The sequence below is a fragment of the Homo sapiens genome, chromosome 21 (assembly GCF_000001405.40).
Source record: "Homo sapiens chromosome 21, GRCh38.p14 Primary Assembly".
Classification (NCBI taxonomy): domain Eukaryota; kingdom Metazoa; phylum Chordata; class Mammalia; order Primates; family Hominidae; genus Homo; species Homo sapiens.
In genome coordinates, this window is record NC_000021.9 from 25,503,235 (window position 1) to 25,524,552 (window position 21,318).

The window sequence follows — 21,318 nt, forward strand, 5'->3', positions numbered from 1 at the left end:
AAACATATATGAAACCATTTGCTATGTAAATAAAGTAAACCACATGTTCCTGGTAAACTGCACTACAGTGTGCCTTAATTGGGCGACATGTATAAAGCCATCATTCATATTAGAGTTTCAATCAAGGAATTAAGTCCAACAACTTCAATAACTCAAGTTTGTCACCTGCTGTATCAGTTAGGATTGCATTTGATTGAGTGGCTTAATTATACTATACTGGCTTTTTTAAAATTACAAAGAGACTATGTACAGAGTGGTTTAAATTATTAAAGTATTGTGGTTAATCCCAGTCTCCCCACTGATTTGTACTAAATCTCTGCCCTGCTCTGTTTCCCAAGAGGCTGACCTTCATGGGCAGCCATACTCAAGATCTTCTGCCCTCTGGCTTAGGTGATGAAATGGTTAGGCTTTGTGTCCCTACCCAAATCTCATCATGAATTGTAATCCCCAGGTATTCAGGGAGAGACCTGGTGGGAAATGATGGGATTATGGGGGTGGTTTCCCCCATGCTGTTCTCATGATAGTCAGTAAATTCTCATGAGATATGGATGGCTATAGTGTTTGGCAAGTTCCTCCTTCGCTCACTGTTCTCTCTCCTGCCACCCTGTGAAGAAGGTCCTTGCTTTCCCTTTGCCTTCAGCCATAATTGTAAGTTTCCTGAGGCCTCCCCAGCCATGTGGAACTGTGAGTCAATTAAACCTCCTTCCTTTATAAATTACCCAGTCTCATGTAGTATCTTATAGCAGTGTAAGAATGGGCTAATAGAGGTGGGAAGAGAAAGGATCACATATTGATCTCCCATAGTGTCTTCCCCACCACTCCCATGCCTCCTGCCCTTATTGGCACAGCTGTAATTCTGGCAATTACTTTCTTCTATAGCCACAAGTTTTATGAGGCAGCTCCTCTTCTCTGACTCAAGTTCTTGCTGGCTCCAGTGAACACTGTTTCCTTCCTTAATCCTTCTCACTTCCCAGCATTTCTAGTCCTTGGGTGTTGTATCATCTCTTATTAATTCCTATAATGGTTAATTTTATGCATATATTTGGTTGCGCCATGGGATGCCCAGGTATTTGGTCAAACTTTATTACAGGTTTTCTGTGAAGGTGTTTCTGGATGAGATTAATGTTTAAATCAGTAAACTGTGTAAAGTGGATGATCCTCCATAATGTGGGTGGCTCTCATCCAATCATTTGAAGTCCTGCACAGAACAAAAGACTGACCCTTCCCAAGGAACAGAGAATTCTCCTTCCTGACAGCCTTCAAACTGAAACATCAGCCTTTTGTGGCTCTACGGTAGCCATCCAGCCTTTGGACTGGAACTAGGACATTGGCTCTGCAAACTTTGGACTTGCCAGCTTCCACAATCGTGTGAGCAATTCCTTATAATAAACCTCTTTTTAAAAATCTTCTATTGGTTCCATTTCTCTGGAGAACCCTGAAATATAGTTCCCTTATTCTTGTTACTATCTCTATAAATAGTCTCTTCATTGAATTATTTTTTGAAGTGTTTTGGTCCTTCACCTGTGTCTGCCAGAACACTACATGACACATAAGGTTTTTCTTTCGTCTTCACAATGTTCAAAGGTAGGCAATCAGGTTCAATGCAGAAGTCCACAGTGTTGCTCCTTCTGTCTCCCTATTTTGCCATCCTTGGCAAGTGACTTTCATTAACATACTTCCAGGATACTCCATGTTCTAGAGGAATAAAATGTGAAGGGACTGAGAGCTTTCTCTTACAAGGTGTTACTCAGAAATGTAATTTTATGCCAGCACCTTGGGTGGCTGAGGTGGGAGGATCACTTGAGCTCAGAAGTGCAAGACCAGCCTGGGCAACACAGTGAGACCCTTCTCTACTAAAAAAAAAAAAAATCAGCTGGGTGCGGTGGCATGCACCTGCAGTCCCAGGTACTCAGGAGGCTAAGGCAGGAAGGTCATTTGAGCCCAGGAGATTGAGGCTGCAGTGACTTATAATAGCACTACTGCACTTCAGCCTGGACAACAGAGTGAGACCCTGTCTCTAAAAACAGCAACAACAACAAAATGTAATTTTAACCACTGCCGCCTTACCCCCAATATACTTTAGCCCATACTTTACTGTCCAAAATCTTGCCCATGGGCACTCCTACCTGCAAGGGAGCTGGAGATATTGAGCGTTTTGTTTTCTAGTCTTAAGATAGAGAAAGGCAAGGAATGAAGGAGCTAGTCAGGGGGTCAGAAGGCTCACCCTCAACACCTGCCACATTTGCTCTTCTTGAACCTCATATCCATTTTCCTCCTATGCCACCACTGCTCTCATATGTCTTTTAACACATTTTCTTAAAAGGGAGAAAAAAGCCTTTTCCCCTGACCCAATTGCAAAATTATTTTCCTTTCTGCCATCATCCTTGACTTCTGATTCTGCATCACAAAAGCCAAAACACAAATTCTTCTGTCACAGCAGCCCCCTTCAAAGGATGCAGAGAGAACATGATGGACCAGAGAAACCAGAATCTTCTTAGCAGGTAGAAGGAAATGAAAGTCTAGGAACACACAGACATTAATACTTTGCATGCCATTTTATCTGGTTTCAGAATTTTGGCTGCTGACAACCGCCAGCTCCAGACAACTATCAAGTGTCTGGTCTTAGAGCTGGTGACACCACCTGTAGTTACATTATGTAATTTGCACTTACACATCACCAAAATTCTAAACAGAAATTAAAAAATACATAATATATGTACATTTATATAATTTTTTATCTCAAAATTTCTAACATCATATGGTCACACACGGCTGCCTCACCCCCCTGAGCATCATATTCATGTTCCAGATAGGCTTTGTTAAATAGAGGAAGCTCTCCCCCAGTTCCCGGGAAGAGACACAAATTTATACATTACCAATTATTACATACTACTAACTGCTTAGGGTGTGGTCTGAAGACATCTGAGTTAACTGGCACCAAAATTCCAACAGCAATTCAATGACCCTATAATCAGCTCTCTAGGCAGTTGCTTCCTAGCACTTAAGGAGTAAAAGACTATCGAAGAACGACAACAACAACAAAATCAGTATTCAGAGAGAAATGTAAGACAACCAGGGGAGAAAGATAGACCTTCACTGTTGAATCATCTCTAACTTGTGATACACTTCCCAGACATCTTAGCCTTCCTTCAGTATTTCCCTCCTAGGAGCAGCCTCAATACTTAGATACTAAGATGGACAGTTCAGTGACACTGACCTGAAATATTCTGAGGTCAGCACTGAAAAAAGACTTCCTCTATTTTCAAAGATCATTGCATTGCTTTCAATATAATGACCTAAAAGATATTTGGAAATTAGTTTAGAGGATCAGAAGCCCTTTAGAAAAGGTGATGCTCTATTTTGTAAGTAAATATATTTTGATCTTCCCATTATAAATCTTTATATCACGTTGTCTTAGTGTTTCTTAGAATGGTTGTTCTATCGAATACCAGAACATATCAAATAAGCATTCAACCTAAATAAATACTTTTGGATCATTTCTGTCAGTATTTTACATTTTCAGTCATACTTCATAAGCCTAATCACAACCTTTGAGTTCAAATAATAATATTATGAATCAATTTAACATAATGCTTAATACTTATTAAATTTAATAAACAATTGTTAACATTGTAAGCCAGATAACTTCACTTTATAAACAGGAAAGAAGCCATGCTATTGGAATCCATACATATTCCTTCAAATCTGTACCTCAATTTATTGTTTTTATGCCTACACACTTCAATCGTTACTAAAAACCAGCTGCTTTCCGTGTATATACCATGCCGCTCCTCCTTAAATCAATTGCAGCTTCTCTTGATTAACCAATGGTAGAATGATTCACTATGTCAATAAATATTCTGAATCATAGAACAATGTAGAGGACGTGGCAGACAGCTGCTGAACATATTTAAACCTCATATTTCAGTTTAAAAAGGCACGTATCCTAAAGTGCATGTCAGTCTCTGGATAGCAAAATTACAGCGATGTAGTTTTCCTCACTTGAAATTTACATTTTAATGAAAGCACTTTCATGTATTAATAGGTAAATCTTTTCAGGCCACTGCCAAGACTCATTGCTTTGCAATCTCATACTGTTTTAGAGATCCTAGTCCACTACATTAAAAATGTGCTTATAAATGTTAAGCCTCCATAGTATATTTTAAAGGATAGGGAAGTATTTTCTCTTTAATAGAACTAGTTTCAACATTGATACATCATTTTTAATTTACAGGAGAAAAGGTATTATCAGAGAGCTTTCTCTCAGTTTATATAGAGGTAAGACCATTCTTAGCCTCAAATTCAAGACTACTACCTTTCTGAACTCCAGTAGGAACTATAGTCCTACTGTAGGACTATTGACTATAGTCTTAGTTCCACCACAAGATTGATGAGAACATTGCAAACAGAGCACTAATAAGTTCCTATTTCTTTGAAAAGGTAGCTGTAAACCTTCAGCACACATGCTAGATGCCAAATACTCCCTACTGGCCAAGTCATCAATTGCAACATTGAGTGCCCCCAGTGCAAAAAACAACATGGTATCATCCAAGATCAGTAAAAGCATACATAGTTAATGTAGCTAGCACTTATATAGCACTTTCTTTGTGCCAGGTATTATTATAAATGCTTTACATAAACTGATTCACCTAATCCCCACAAATAACCCTGTATGGTAAGAACTACTATTGTCCCTATTTTATAGATGAGGAAACCAGGTAAAGAGAAGTTAAGTAACTCTGCTCAGGGTCATCAGCTAGAAATTAGCAGTATGTCCTCAGAATCTGTGATATTACATAATATGCTGACCTAAAGGAATATGTTCAACTATCAAGAAACTTAAAAATTCCACTGAACAAAACCTTTCAGATGAAAGAGATGTGGGAAAATTAGCAAGGTAATAGATTAGATTAAGGAAAAGTAAAGAACTGCTAAGCCACACACTGTATTAATAAGCAAAGCATTGTGATCAGAGAATACCCCACTTCTGTTTGCATTAGAGATAAAGGATGCAAATAATGCCTTTGATTAATATTCTCTTTAATTAATAGGAATCCTGGGCTGTGATAAAATGTTTCAAACATTGTATCTGAGAGTTCTGAAGTTGCATGAAAGACTGGGATTGATTGATAAATAACAGGCTCAATTCTCCCTGTGTGATGTGCTGGCCAGCACAGCTATTCAGCTATTCCAGGAGGCAGCTCTCTGAGTTTGACCCAACTGATTTGAGCATTATCTCGCTGTGCAGATAATGTCACAGGAATAGGAAGCTTCTGAAAGAGCAGCATGGCCTTGCTGACTCTGCAGTAGCCACAGAGATAAATGCCTACAGATAAAATGACCACCTCATCTAGGTTTGCCGGAGACTTTCTCAGGCTTAGCACTGAAGTCCCACATTCCAGGAACCTCTCTTTCCTGGGAAAACTGGAACAGTTTGTCATCCTAGAGCCAGTGTTTTCTTGGCTGTGGGCGAAGTAGCTGGGGGTTGAGGCAAAGAACAGAGGCCTCAGAAAGACAGATTTATATCCCAATTCTGCCTCTGCCACTCACAATACAATCTGGGACAAGTCACTTACCCTCTCTGAGATCTCATTTTCGCTATCTGGAATATAAGTATAATTGCCCCCATTACTTTGTCTGAAAAATAAATGAGAAACCATGAAAAGTTTCTGAAAAAGTGTCTGACATAAAATAGCTGCCCAGCAAATAGTAGGTGTTCGTACTATATTCCAGGAATTATAAAATCAAACCGTAACTATATAAGCAACTCTGTCTAGACAGGGTTTTTTTTTAATTTTCTTGAAGTGGGAAGGGGGTGCATTTATGATAATGATTATTTCAGCTTTTAGAAAGTCAATTCATTTAATGGGATTTATTTATCAAAAAGCCGTGTTGACTCATGCCCAATGGTTGTAAGATCACGTTCTTTCAAAACTCCATTTATGAGTAAAATTCAAATAGTCTTTTCTAAAGTTAATATTTAAGAATGCATTTACATTTGAAAAAATTGAAAAAATGAAGACAGCACTTTCATTTCAGTAAAATTTTAGGAAGATAAAGGTCTGTGGAAACAAAATTATTCAAAATGTCCAATTACCTCAGTTACACTATAAGGTTCTTAAACTAACCTGGGTTTTTATCTAACAAAACTCTGGTTTATACTAAGTATGTTTTAAAATTTTACTTAGAAGAGAATCAGTACATAATCCATATTCTTTAATATGGCCAGCTATGATAGGTTTCCCAGAATAGAGCCCTTAAATTCTATAATTTTTATTTTTGCATAGATTTTTAAAATTCATTTTTAAACAAATTATTATTTTTGTGTCCTATGTTTTTCTCTAAATACCTACTAAAGTAAATGCAATTTGCTATACTTGAATTTTTAATTACATAAAAAGAAGGTATTTTGATTACTTAATTTCAAAATTCAATCTCTGATTATCTACCTTCTACTATAGAAAGGCTTTAATACACACTCCCAAATACGGAAGAAAAAGTGATGCATTCCACGCTGGAATCTGTTTTACCTACCTAGAAAGTCTTTTGCTAAAGTACAATATTAAATAAGAATTTTCAAATCTTACTAAAAATTTTCCTTCCTAAAATAATATTTCTACTGTATTTTAGGAAGCGTTTTATATTTCAGCCCATAAAATTGTCAGTTTATGACATGATACAATTTAGGCTGAACAGTTAAAAGATTCTGAGAAGGAAACTTGAATTGCTCAGAGAAAGTGTAAAATCCCATGTGTTACTAAAATCAAGGGACTGTCATGATAAAAATTTTCTGAATGCCTTGCAAGTTGGATACTTCATTTAAAAACTCCCCACCCACAATGTTCTCTGAAGCATATCTTAAAGCCCCAACCAACCCTTCCATTCCTTAGCATAGAATACATGTTGGTTTCTTTTTTGCAACATGTGCTTTCTTTAAAGTCAAATATATGACACTGAATCTTGAAACATTACAGGAAAGCGATTTAGATTCTTCTGGTTACTGCAACATAGCAAAAAAAAAAAAAAAAAAATTAAAAATCCCCTGTCTCTACTGCTCATGTTCCCTCTTAAATAACAACTCTTTAAATAGAGATCCCTGTTAATATTTTATGAAATAATGAATTGTCTTTTCCATTCATATTTCTTTATATTTCACATCGTGTCTTATTTTTTCTCTGCTCCCAGATTTCTGATAATTCTAGAATCCGTGAGATGAGTCCAAGCAATACATTCAGTAACTAATCTAAGCATTTGCAGCCACTGAATGTATCACCTGGACTTATCTTTTGAGCGTATTTTAAATTGGGTAGAGAAGACTCTAAATAAAAGTCTTTCTCTTTCTAATATAATGCATTTGTAAAGAAGCATATTAGATCTGTTAAATAAATAAATATTTACTAATTAAGTTTGCTGTCAATGTTATAAGCAAATTACTTTACAAATGGCTGATCTGGAATTTCAGGAGCTCAATTGCTGAAGTAACTTATTTATTCAAATATTCTTAAACTGTTGTTGTATTACCACAGTGCAGTTCTATCCATGAAACTGAACAAGAAAATCAAATTCACCTGAATGCCTAAGAGAGCTCCTCATAAATCCGTAGTTCAGTTTTGATTTGTAGGAGAAAAAAGAAAAATAATGCAGATTGTTCCAACTATTCTCTACTCCCTAAATCTCAAGATTTCAAATTTTCACTAATATCAAATGCCACCTCACCACCACCAAACAGAATCTGTTTATTGAAGGAACAAGGCCAATTGGGTGGGTTTCAAAGAGATCATGTTCCAACAATTAGTTTCATTTTCAAAGTTTAACTCTTTCCTGAATACTGTTTAACTGGGAAAATGAACTGAAAGCCCATTGAAGATTTTATACCTTTCTACTTCCTGGCCATGAAATGTGGCCTTGGAGTCTTAGAGGTAGATAGTTATATTTTAGAGAACCTTGAAGCTGGTTTGTTGTAGTAAGAGAATTTACATATTTCTAGATGTTTAATTTTTGTCTACAACAAAAATTAAAGTTTAAAAATGTAACTAATAGGAATGAACATTGCTTTGACTATTGAATTAAAGAGTAAAGAAAAATGGGTATTATATCATTAAAATAGAACAGAATCAAATGGTTCATTTTAGCACTTCAGAAAGGTTGTATCATCAGTGTGTTTTTGGGCCATTTTTTCCATTTATTATAAACTCATGATTGCTAACGGAATTCAATAAAGTACTTAAATTGCACAATAAAATATTCCCATGCCACTGAAACTCCTTAGCTATTAATTCAATAATTTTTTGTAACTTTTGTGAAACATTTTACCTAATATTTTATGTATGTAAGTGTAAGCTAAAAGTTTCTTCACTGTTTTCACATGATCAATGGCTTATTTGACAGGCATTTTCTCTTTAAAAAAAAAAAAAGAAAAGAAAAAAAGATATTTCCCCTAGGCTGGTGCAGTGGCTCAAACCTGTAATCCCAGCACTTTGGGAGACCAAGGCGGGTGGATCGCTGAGCCCAAGAGTTCAAGACCAGCCTGGTCAACATACGCAGACCTTGTCTCTACAGATAATTTAAAAATTAGTCAGGCGTGGTGGTGCACATCTGTAGTCCCAGCTACTTGGGAGGATGAGGTGGGAGAATCACTTGAGCCTGCAGTGAGACATGACCATGCCACTGCACTCCAGCCTGGGTGACAGAGTGAGACCCTGTCTCAAAAAAAAAAAAAAAAAAATATATATATATATATATATACAGTAAACTTGCAAACACAAATGGCCTCCTTGATTCTAGTTACTTTGCACACTTTGTAAAAATTTAAAGTAATAACGAGCACAGCTTCTCACACTCCCTGCTCTATAACTCTTTCCTCATTACCCATCTCTAAATTCTTCTAACTGTGGTACAGTTCATTGAAAAACAAAGCACTGAGTGAGCTAACATTGAAATTGTAAGAATAGTGGCTATTACTGCATAACAACAAGCAGAAGAGCAACATCTATTCTTTCTTGCTGCTGGAAACCATAGAAGGGCTTAGTACAATCACTCACTATGATTAACTCTCTACATTTTAACCACATAATTCTCAACATGAGGAAGAAGCTAACCTGTTGACTTGCCTAGAGACAAAGAATAAGAGAAACCAGAATTCAAAACTGCAGTTGATAGCAGACCATGGCGAAGACAGACCAGAAAATGTCAGGCCTGGGAGTCAGGCCTGTGCAGAAGTCCCCTGTGCAGGCCTGGGAGTCAGGATGTGCAGAAGAAACATGTGGGGCAGTTCACAGGCCAGAGATCAAGTCCTCTTGAGAGACGACTCCCTAGAGAAAAAAAAAAAAGAAAGAAAGAAATCAGAATTTAATGTCACCCAATTAAAAAAAAACAAGAAGCAGATTCATAGAGATCATGTGATTGGCAGAATAAAGGCCCCTGCTAAAGACGTCCTGAGAACCTGTCAATATGTTATGCTACGTAACAAAGGGAATTAGGGTTGCAGGTGGAATTAAGGTTGCTATTCAGCTGGCCTTTTTATAGGGAGATTTCCTGGATTATCTGGGTGGGCCCAGTGTCATCACAAGGGTTCTTAAAAGTGGAAGAGGGAAACAGAAAAAGGGAGCCCAAGAAAGAGAAGTGAAAAGGGACCAGGGCCAGGGAGATTCTATGTTGTTGGCCTTGAAGATGAGGAAGGGGATCACGAGCCAAAGCATGTGCGCAGCCTCTAGAAGCTTGAAAAGTCAAGGAAATGGTTTATCTCCTAGAACCTCAAGAAAAATATGCAGCCTGTCAACACCCTGATTTTAGCTCAATGAGACCTGTATCGGCCTTCTGACCTACAGAAGTGCAAAATAATAATAAATTCGTGTTGTTTTAAGCTACTAAGTGTGTGGCAATTTGAGTTGGCAGCAGTAGAAAGCATAGATAAGTGCTCAGGAACTGAGAACAAACAGAGAGGGACAAACAGGGCATTTGATAAACATGGAAATAATGAAAAAATGAGTGAATAAAGAAATACAGGGAAGTCAGCAACTACATTTTGGGATGCATTAAAGATAAAGTCTTTATCAGCCACACAACATAATGATGACAAGTGATCTAGAGACTCATCTTAGCAGCCATCTGCCCTGAACTATCCCATTCTAAGGAATGTCGACAAACCATGTCTAGTGAAGTATGAGCAATAATTAATAAGAAAAAATGTAATATTTAAATATTAATTTTAAAATAATGAATAAAAATCAGGCTTATTTCCCAATCCCCCAAGTTATAATGGCAGTTAGTCAAGACTGAGAAAATGGTTATACCTTAAAGCTGCTGACCTTTCATCCAGCAATTAATGCAATCTCATTCCACTCTGTTTCTCCCACCATACAAAACGTCAGTCACCCCACTGCACCATGCTCTTCATGTCTCCTAGGCCTTCAAACCTACTACTGCCTCCCTTGTCTCCTGGTTAGCTCCTAGGTATCATTTATTTTACAGCTTTCCTCAAAGAAACCTGCATTTGGCTACTGATTGAGTTCAGTCCCTGTATTAGTCCATTCTCACACTGCTATAAAGAAATACCTGAGACCGGATAATTTATAAAGAAAAGAAATCTAATAGGCTCCTGGTTCCACAGGCTGTACAGGAAGCATGGCTGAGGAGACCTCAGGGAGCTTTTACTCATGGCAGAAGGCAAAGCCAGAGCAGGCATCTTCACATGGCCAGAGCAAGAGAAAGAGAGAGAGGGAGGAGGTGTTATACACTTTTAAACAATCAACTCTCATGAGAACTCACCCACTATCACGAAAACAGCACCTGGGGGATGGTGTTAAACCATTAGAAACCGCCCCCATGAACCAATCACCCCGCACTAGGCCCACCTCCAACATTGGAGATTACAATTCGACATGAGATTTGGCTGGTGACACAGATCAAAATCATATCAATCCCCTATTGCATATTCCTGTCGATGCTTGTATACTCCACTTTAGGGCATTTGTTTCACAACTGGGATTTTCCAGTAAACCCTAAAGCGGGAATGCTGGTACAGACCAACAGTACAGAGAAGCATCAAGACCATTTTGTATTCATATCAATACAAACCCACTCTTGCTGGTTTAACTGGACCAAGCCGGCTCTGCTGGGCTGTCACAAATGCACCCAAAAGACAGGAATAATGTCTACCTTACTCAACATTAACTTCTCAATTCTAGTGCTTTGTCTGATACAAGATAAGTGTTCTGACAAATTTTTGTGGCATGAAAAAATTGAAAGGCCAAAACAATAAAATCTAGGTCTTTTCAAAAAATTCATTCTTGTATTCCAATTTTCATTTTCGTCACAAAAATGAGTGTTTTGGGCTACCATGTATATTCTCCTTAAAAGTTAATTTATACTGGCTCTTATACTTTTTTTCCCAGCAAAAAGATTACAAATATTTTCTGACCTATGTTTTTAGCTTAAAACATAGGTAAACTATACATTATGTCATATATGCATGTGCATATAAATATATACACACACTATGTCAGTCAAGGTCCTCCAAAGAAACAGAACCAATAGAATGGATGGATGGATGGATGGATGGATGGATGGATGGATGGATGGATGGAGACAGATAAAATATCACGAATTGGTTTACATGATTATGGAAGCTGAGAAGTCCCACAATTTGCCATCTATCAGATAGACAGGAAAACCAATGGTGTCGTTCCAGTCTAAGTCTGAAGGCTTGAGAACAGGGAGCACCAATGGTGTAAGTTTTCATCAAAGTTCAAAAGTCTTAAAACCAGAGAGACAACAGTATAAGTTAAAGTTCAAGTACAAAAGCCTGGGAACCAGGAGCACCAAAGATGTAAGTCTCAGTTCAAGCGTGAGAAGACAGATGTCCCAACACAAACAGGCAGGGAGGAAAGGGATGAATCTTCCCTTCCTCCACTTTGTGTTCTATTCAGGCCCTCAACAGATTGAATGAGTCCACCCATATTGGAGAAAGCAATCTTCTTTACTCAGTCTACCTATTCAAATGCTAATCTCTTCTAGAGACACCCTCATAGACACACACAGAAATAATGTTTAACCAAATATCTGGGCACACTGTGGTCTAGTCAAGTTGACACATAAAAATAATCATCACACACATACATATTTATTTTTAGTGATCTTTATTTGTACTAATGTGTTTTGATTCTAGATTCATGGAATGCTCTCACTCTCATTTCTGAAGATTCAATGAGCAAGAGATTTCTGGATTCATCTGGCTGAGTGAAACTATACTACCGATTCTTTTAATGCCATGTGAATTAAAGCACATACACTTGAAAATAACAAAATTAATTAACCAGTGGTACTCAAAAAGGGCAATAGACTATACTTATTTCACATACTTATTTTCCCAATAAAGATGGCCAAGAAGTAGAAGAATCTGAAGCAGACTCAGGCACTGTAGCATGGTGACACTTCATATCCAGATCACAAACTAGTTAGTCATCAAAATCATGACTATATCAATACCTCCATATGTCAGTTTTCTATTGTTGCCATAACAAATTACTGCAAATTGAGCTCCTTTAAACAACTTCAATGTATTCAATGTATTATCTCATAGTTCTGTGGGTCAGAAGTCTGGTGAATTCAGCTGGTTCCTCTGGTCCAGGTTTCACAGACTGAAATCAAATTGCTGGCAAACTGGACTCTTATCTGAAGGCTCTGAGGGATAACTCATTCAAGTTGTTGGAAGAATTCAGTTTTCATGACTGCAAGGCTAAGGATCATATTTCCTGGCTAGCTGTTAGCCAGGAGCCTCCCTCAGCCTCTTAAGGCTGTGCAAATTCCTCATCATGCTGCTCCCTCCAACATCAAACCAGAAAGTTCCCATTGAGTCCCTGTACTTTGAATTGTTCTCGCTGCTGCTGCTGCTGCTGCATCTCTTCTGCCTCCAGTTGGAGAAAGCTCTCTGCTTTGAAGGCTTTATGTAATTAGATTGGGCCTACTTGGATAATCCAGAATAATCTCCTCATTATATGGTCAGTAACTTTAATTACATCTGCAAAGTCCCCTTTGCCAACTAACATAACATATTCACAGGTTGCAGGGATTAGGGCATAGACAGCTCTCGGAGAGAAGTCTGGGGAGGGAACATGCTGCCTACCACATCCCACATCTAAAAGGAAATACATACAGGGGGTGGCAGTATCACCTTTCCTCTCTTCTGACTCAGGAATACCGCAAATGGTATCTAGAGAGAAACTGGTAAAAAATTGGAAATCAAGAATGGAACTCAATCTTTTTGAAAATACTTAGAAACTGTCTCAAGATAATTTTTAAATCATTTATTCTATCTTATGATAATTTAAAATAACAACTTAATAACAGTGAAGATAATAAAAATATTTATTGAGAACCAGATGGGCCAGATTGACTGTGCTAAATTCTGTTCAGTATATCATTTATCATAATTAATAAACACAACCACACACACACATCTATTTCTGTACCTCCTGCTCTGTTTTTTTTAGGCTGACTGCATATTACTAGATCAGAAATACATTGTTTTATTACTATTACTTTGAAATATATTTTAACACCAAGAAACGTAAGTCTTATTTCTAAACACCCTTCATTCCACACACACAAACACACATATTCCTCTTCTATTTAAATTTATATTAGCTATTCTCACTCATTAAATTTTTATAATGGAATTTAGGTACATATAATTGAATTAATCATAATCCTCAGTCAATAATTATTGGAATAGAACTATTTTACCTTATTTATTTAGCGTTAATGAATAAATAAAACTAAAACTATTTAAAAAGTAACTATGGAAGGTGATGGATATGTAAATTTGTTTGACTATAGTAATCATTTTAATACATATATGTATATCAAAATATGGTGTACACCTTAAATATATACTTTATAGTATTTATTTTAAGATAATTTAAAAATAATGATATTGAACAAATACCCATTAATATACCACCCACCCAAGACTGAAAATATCAACACAAATTTACATATCCTCCCCACTTTTATTCTCCTGTCTCTCCTCACACACACACACCTAGAAGTAACCACTGTCTCAAATTTTGTGTTTATCATTTCCTTCCTTTGTAAAATAATTTTTTACATACCAGCATGTTTAATCAAATGTTTATTTTACTTGTTTTTATCTTTATAAAACATCACTTTTATAAATGACTTCAGAATCATTTTTGTCAAATCTGCTCCCCAACAAAATTTTACAACTTTAATTGAGATGCATTATATTTATAAGTGACTTGGGGAAGAATTATTATCTCTGAAATCATGAATTTTCATGTATTAGTGGTTATGACCATTCCCACTTATAATTTGTATCTCTCTTCATTGCTATTCTTTTTGTTGTTATTTGAGGTTTGTCTGGCAATTTTTTTTCAATAAGCTGTATTTTGGATGTATACACTAGAATTTGTTTTTAAACCTATAATTTCTGAATTGTCTTTATTTGCTCTATCCAACTGGTATTCTTAGATTACTTATATTGCCTTCTTTTAACTACTTATATTAACCTTCAGCCTGTTTCATATTTATTTTTTATTTAATAAAAAACATATTTAAAATTCTAAATTATACTCTTGAGTTACAAGTTACAATCTTACTATTCTGGTTGTCATACTATTCAAAATATTCCATAATCACGATTTTGTTCTTTGTGTACATGTTAAAGTTACTTAGTATAATTGATTTTTTAATTTCCAAGTGATTGGTTTTTAAATCAAACTTACATTGTTAATTTCTATCTTTCCTACACTGTTCAGAGTTTTTGTCCTGTAAATCTTGTGCTTTTTATGTAACATGCAGAGTTTGTGTTCCAATATGTGATCATGTTTTAATATTATGTGAACATATTCTGTTTATAGTATATAAAAATTAATAGTAATAATGATATTATTAAGTGTTTATTAGTAAAAGAATAGTCTGGAATATGCTTCAAAACATAGCAGCAATAACTCACTAAATACACACACATACACAAAGTGGTATAGATAGGTTTTTAAAGGATGGCAAAATATGAATTTTACCTCTTATCAATATAAATTGGCTATAAAGACAGAGCAAGTTGACCAAATAGAAGCCTTCACCAATCATTCTCCCTGCAGGAACACCAAATAGAACAATTATCAACACAAAAGAAGCACCTTCATAAGAACCAAAAATCAGGTGAGTGATCACAGTACCTGGTTTTAACTTCATATCACTGAAAGAGGTGCCGAAGAGGATAGAAAAGATAGTCTTGAATTGCCCACACCACGCCTGCCCCATCCCCCAGCAGCAGCCATGTGGTGGAGAAAGAATCTGTGTGCTTGGGGGAGGGGGAGCACAGTGACTGTGGAATTTTACATTGGAACTCAGTGCTGCCTGTCACAGCAGAAAGTAATAGTGGGCAGAACTCAGTCAGCACCCACAGAGGGATAAGTTAGACCAGCCCTAGCCAGAGGGGAATTGCCCAACCCAGTGGTTGGAACCTGAGTTCCAGCAAGCCTCACCATTGTGGGTTAAAGTACTCTGAAGTCCTAAATAAACTTGAAAGGCAACAGGGACTGCAATTCCTGGGCAAGTCCTGGTGCTGTGTTGGATTCAAAGCCAGCGGATGTTGGTGGCATGCAACCTTGTGAGACACCAGCCGGGGTGGCCAAGGGAATGCTTGCATCACCCCTCCCCAACCCCCGGCAGTGCAGCTTGCAGCTCCAGGAGAGACTTCTTTCTGCTTAATGAGAGGAGAGGGAAGAGTAAAAAGAACTTTGTCTTGCAACTTGGATACCAGTTCCACCACAGTAGGATAGGGCACTGGGCAGAGTCATGAGGCCTCCATTCCAGAACCTAGCTTCTGTACAACATTTCTAGGCACACACTGGCGCAGAAGGGAACCTGCTCTTTTGAAGGGAAGGATCCAGTCCTGTCAAGAATTATCCACAGCTGACTAAAAAACCTTTGGGCCCTGAATAGTCAGCAGTGGTACCCAGATAGCACTCACCATAGGCTTTGAGTGAGACTCAGAGACATGCTGGATTCCCGTATGATCCAGCACATTCCGAGTTGTGGGAGATATGGGGAAAGCCTCCTTCTTCTTGAGAAATGGAGAGAGAAGAATAAAAGGGACTTTGTCTTGCAGCTTAGGTACCAGCTCAACCACAGTGGAGTAAAACACCAAGCGGGCCCTTAGGGTCCCTAATTCCAGGCCTTGGCTCTTGGACAGCATTTCTGAATCTGCCCTGGGCCAGAGAGAAACCCACTGCCATGAAGGGAGAGTCTCAGGCCAGGCAGCACTCACCTCAAGCTGACTGAAGAGCCCTTCAGCCTTGAGTGAACACTGGCAGTAGCCAGGCAGTACTCCCCCTGAGCCTTGGGTGGTGGTGGACACAAGGAAAACTCCTCTGCTTGTGGAAAGGGAAGGGAATAGTGAGAAGGACTTCATCCTGTGGCTTGGAGGCCAGCTCAGCCACAGTAGAATAGAGCACTGGGGAGATTCTTAAGGTTTTCCAGGCCCTGTCTCCTGGAAGCATCTCCGGACCCACTGGCACTTGGGGAACTCACCACCCTAAAGGGAAGAACACAAGTCTGGCTTGCTTTGCTACCTGCTGATTTTAGAGCCCTAGGACTTTGAGCTAATATAGGCAGTAGCCAGGCAGTGGTCACCACGGGCATTGGGCAAGATCCAGTACCATGCTGACTTCAGGTCAGACCCAGCACAGTCCCAGTGGTGGTGGCCACAGGAGTGCTTGCATAATCCCTCCCCCAACTCCAGGCAGTTCAGCATAGGGAAAGAGATTCCATTTATTTGGGAGAAAGTAAAGAAAGAGAACAAGAATCTCTGCCTGAAAATCCAGAGAATTCTTTCAGATCTTATCCAAGACCACCACCAAGGTGGTACCTCTACAAGTCTGCAAGAGCCACAGTGTTACTAGGCTTGAGGCATCTCCTAAGGCAGACACAAGTGTCATGACCAAAACTCAGATTACAACACCTAAGTCCCTTAGAATACCTGGAAAGCCTTCCTAAGAAAGATGGGTACAAACAAGCTCAGACTGTGAAGACTACAATAAATACCTAACTCTTCAATGCCCAGACACTGATGAACACCCACAAACATTAAGACTATCCAGGAAAATATAACCTCACCAAATTAACTAAATAAGGCACCAGAGAACAATTCTGAAGAAACAAAGATATATGATCTTTCAGACAGAGAATTTAAAATAGCTGTTTTGAGGAAACTCAACAAAATTCAAGATAACACAGAGAAGGAATTTATAATCCTATCAAATAAACTTAACAAAAAGACTGAAACAATTAAAAAGAATCAAACAAAAATTCTGGAGTTGAAAAATGCCACTGAAGAATGCATCAGAGTCCCTTACCAGAAGAACTGATCAAGCAGAAGAAAGAATTAGTGAGCTTGAAGACAGGCTATTTGAAAATACACAGAGGAGACAAAAGAAAAATGAATTTAAAGGAAGAAAGCATGCCAAAAAGATCTAGAAAATAGCCTCAAAGGGGAAAATCTAAGAGTTATTGGCCTTAAAGGGGAAGGAGAGGGGGAGAAATAGGGGTAGAAAGTTTATTCAAAATGATAACAGAGAACTTCACAAACCTAGAGGAAAATATCAGTATTCAAGTATAAGAAAGTATAGAACACCAAGCAGATTTAACCCAAATAGGACCACCTAAAGACATTTAATAATCAAACCACTAAAGGTTAAGGATAAAGAATTTTAAAAACAGCAGGAGAAAAGAAACAACACACAATGGAGCTCCAATACATATGAGAGCAAACTATTCAGGGGAAGCTGTATAGCCCAGGAAAGAGCTGTACGACGTATCTAAAGTGCTGAAGGAAAAAACTTTTATCCTAGAATAGTATATCTGGAGGAAATAGCCTTCAAACATGAAGGAGAAATGAAGACTTTTCAAGACAAACAAAAGTGGAGGGAATTTATCAACACCAGACCTGTCCTACAAGAAATGCTAAAGAGAGTTATTCGAGCTAAAGGAAAAGAACATTAATGAGCAATAACAAATCATCTAAAGGTACAAATCTCATGGGTAATAGTAAGTACACAGAAAAAATGCAAAATATAATAACACTGTAATTGTGATGTGTAAACTACTCATATCTCGAGTAGGAAAACTAAAAAGTAAGCCAATCAAAAATAACACCTATAACTTTTCAAAACATAGATGGTACTATGTAGATATATATAAAAACAACAAAAAGTTAAAAAGTGGAAGACAAATTTAAAGTGTGCAGTTGTTATTAGCTTTGCTTGTTTTTTAGTTTGTTTATGGAATCAGTGTTCAGTTGTCAAATAGGTAATAAAATTTTATTTGCAAGCCTCATGATAACCTCAGAATCAAAAAACATACAACAGGTATGCAAAAAGTATAAAGCAATAAATTAAAACATATCTCCAGAAAAAAATCACCTTCATTATAAGGAAGAAAAGAAGCAAGAGAAGACATCCAAACAACCAGAAAACAAATAACAAAATGGTAGAAGTAAGTCCTTACTTATCAATAATAACATTGAGCCTAAATGGACTAAACTCTCTAAGCAAAAGACACAGAGTGGCTGAATGGATGAAAAAACAAGATCCAACAATCTGTTGCCTTCAAGAAACACACTTCGCCTATAAAGACAGGCATAGACTGAAAATAAAGATATGGAAAAAAATATTCCATGCAAATGAAAACCAAAACAGTGCAAGAGTAGCTATACTTAAAATATACAAAATAGATTTAAGGACAAAAGCTATAAAAAGAGAAGAAGAAGGTCCTTATAACATGATAAAGGGGTCAATCAGCAAGAGGATGTAACAATTCTAAGCATACTTGCACCCAATACTGGAACACCCAAATGTATAAAGCAAATATTATTAGACCTCGAGAGAGATAGAGCCCTATACAATAATAGCTAGATACTTCAACATCTCACTTTCAGCATTGGACAGATCATCCAGACAGAAAATCAAGAAAGAAATATCAGACTTAATCTGCACTATAGACCAAATGGACCTAATTGATATTTACAGAACATTTCATTCAACAGCTGCAGAATGCATATTCTTCTCCTCAGGGCATGGATCATTCTCAAGTATGGACTATGTTAGGACACAAAACAAGTCTTTAAATATATTTTTTAAAAAAAGAAATTACATAAAATATTTTATCTGACCACAATGGAATAAAACTAGAAATCAATAACAAAAGGAATTTTGGAAACTACAAAAACACATGAAAATTAAACAATATGCTCCTGAATGGCAGTGGGCTAATGAAGAAATTAAGAAGACAATTTAAAAATTTCTTGAAATAAATGATAATGGAAACACAACACACCAAAACCTATGGGATCCAGTAAAAGCAGTCATAAGAGGAAAGTTTATAGCTATAAGTGCCTACATCAAAAAGGTATAAAAACTACCCAAAAACGCGTCTTTAAGAACTTAAAAAATCAGGAGTAAATCATACCCAAAATTAGTAGAAGAAGAAAAATAATGAAGACCAGAGAAGATATAAATGAAATTGAAATGAAGAAAACAATATAAAAGACCAATGAAATGAAAAGTTTGTTTTCTTGAAAAGATAAATAAAATTGAAAAACCTTTAGCCAGACTAAAAAAAGAAGAGAAAAAAATCCAAATAAATAAAATCAGAGATGAAAAAAGAGACATTACAACTGATGTCACAGAAATTCAATGGATCATCAGAGGCTACTATGAGAAACTATATGTCAATAAATTGGAAAACCTAGAAGAAATGGATAAATTCCTAGACACATACAACCAATCAAAATTGAGCCATGAAGAAATCCAATACCTGAATAGACCAAAAATGAGAAACAAGATTGAGCCACAATAAAAAGCCTCCCAGCAAAGAAAAGCCCTGGACCCAGTGGCTTCCCTGTTGAATTCTACCAAAGTTTTAAAGAAAAACTAATACCAATCCTACTCAAACTATTCCAAAAAATAGAGGAGGGGAGAATATTTCCAAACTCATTCTATTAGGCTGGTACAAATGCAATTGCGATTTTTGCCATTGAAAGTAATGGCAAAACCCACAATGGCAAAAACCACAATTGCCTTTGCACCAACCTAATATGAGACCAGTATTACACTGATACCAAAGCCAGACAAAAGCACATCAGAAAAAGAAAACTACAGGCTAATATCGCAGATGAACATAGATGCAAAACTCCTCAACAAAATATCAGCAAACCAAATTCAACAACACATTAAAAAGGTCATTCATCATGACCAAGTGGGATTTATCCCTGGAATAAAAGGATGGTTCAACATATGCAAATCAAACAACGTGATACATCATATCAACAGAATAAAGGACAAAACCCATATGACCATTTCAATTGATGCTGAAAAAACATTTGATAAAATTAAACATCTCTTCATGATTTAAAAAAACAAAAAAACAAAAAAAACAAAAACCCTGGGCATGATGGCTCACTCCTGTAGTCCCAGCACTTTGGGAGACTGAGGTGGGTGGATCACGAGGTCAGAAGTTCAAGACCAGCCTGGCCAAGATGGTGAAACTCCGTCTCTACTAAAAATATAAAAATTAGCCAGGCATGGTGGCAGGCGCCTGTAATCCCAGCTACTCGGGAGGCTGAGGCAGAGAATTGCTTGAACCTGGGAGGTGGAGGTTGCAGTGAGCTGAGATCACACCACTGCACTCCAGCCTGGGCAAAAGAGCAAGACTCTGTCAAAAAACAAAACAACAACAACAAAAAATCTTGGTAAAGAAGGAATGTACCTCAGCATAATAAAAGCCAGATACAACAGACTCACAGTTAGTATCATACTAAATGGGGAAAAATTACAAGTCTTTCCTCTCAGATTTAGAACATAACAAAGATGCCCACTTTCACCACCATTATTCAACATAGTACTGGAAGTCCTAGCTGGAGTAATCAGACAAGAGAAAGAAATAAAGGTATCCAAATTGGAAAGGAAGCAGCCAAATTATCATGGTTTACTGATGATGTGATCTTATATTTGGAAAAACTTAAAGACTCCACAAGAAAACAATGAAAACTGATAAATTCAGTAAAGTTGAAGGATACAAAATCAGCATACGTAAATCAGCAGCATTTCTATATGCCAACAGCCATCCGAAAAACATTCTGAAAAAAAATCAAGAAAGTAATACCATTTACCATAGCTATGAATAAAATTCAATACCTAGAAATTAACCAAAGAAGTGAAAAATCTCAACAATGAAAACCATAAAACACTGATGCAAGAAATTAGAGAGAATACCAAAAATAAAAGGAAAAATATCCCA

At 37.1% G+C, this 21,318-nt stretch overlaps 1 long non-coding RNA gene across 6 annotated transcripts in view, besides 1 other annotated feature; it reads right to left on the minus strand.

Annotated features, from left to right (window-relative positions):
• Positions 1–15,614, minus strand: part of LOC105372753 (uncharacterized) — a 72,352-nt gene extending 56,738 nt beyond the window's left edge. For 2 of the 6 annotated variants that reach the window (NR_188561.1, NR_188562.1), the window contains exon 1: positions 9,099–9,495. This is a non-coding gene — a long non-coding RNA (uncharacterized LOC105372753). Of the gene's footprint in view, positions 1–9,098; positions 9,496–12,120; positions 13,222–15,041; positions 15,114–15,197; positions 15,322–15,506 lie in introns of those variants that run through there. The other 4 variants (NR_188560.1, NR_188557.1, NR_188559.1 and 1 more) reach the window with 4 other exon arrangements.
• Positions 15,171–15,672: an enhancer, noted in NCBI's record as "H3K4me1 hESC enhancer chr21:26890717-26891218 (GRCh37/hg19 assembly coordinates)". NCBI's record gives its function as "activates a minimal SCP1, AML or CMV promoter by ChIP-STARR-seq in naive H9 embryonic stem cells {active_cell/tissue: H9 hESC(naive)}" and the evidence as "EXISTENCE:reporter gene assay evidence [ECO:0000049][PMID:30033119]".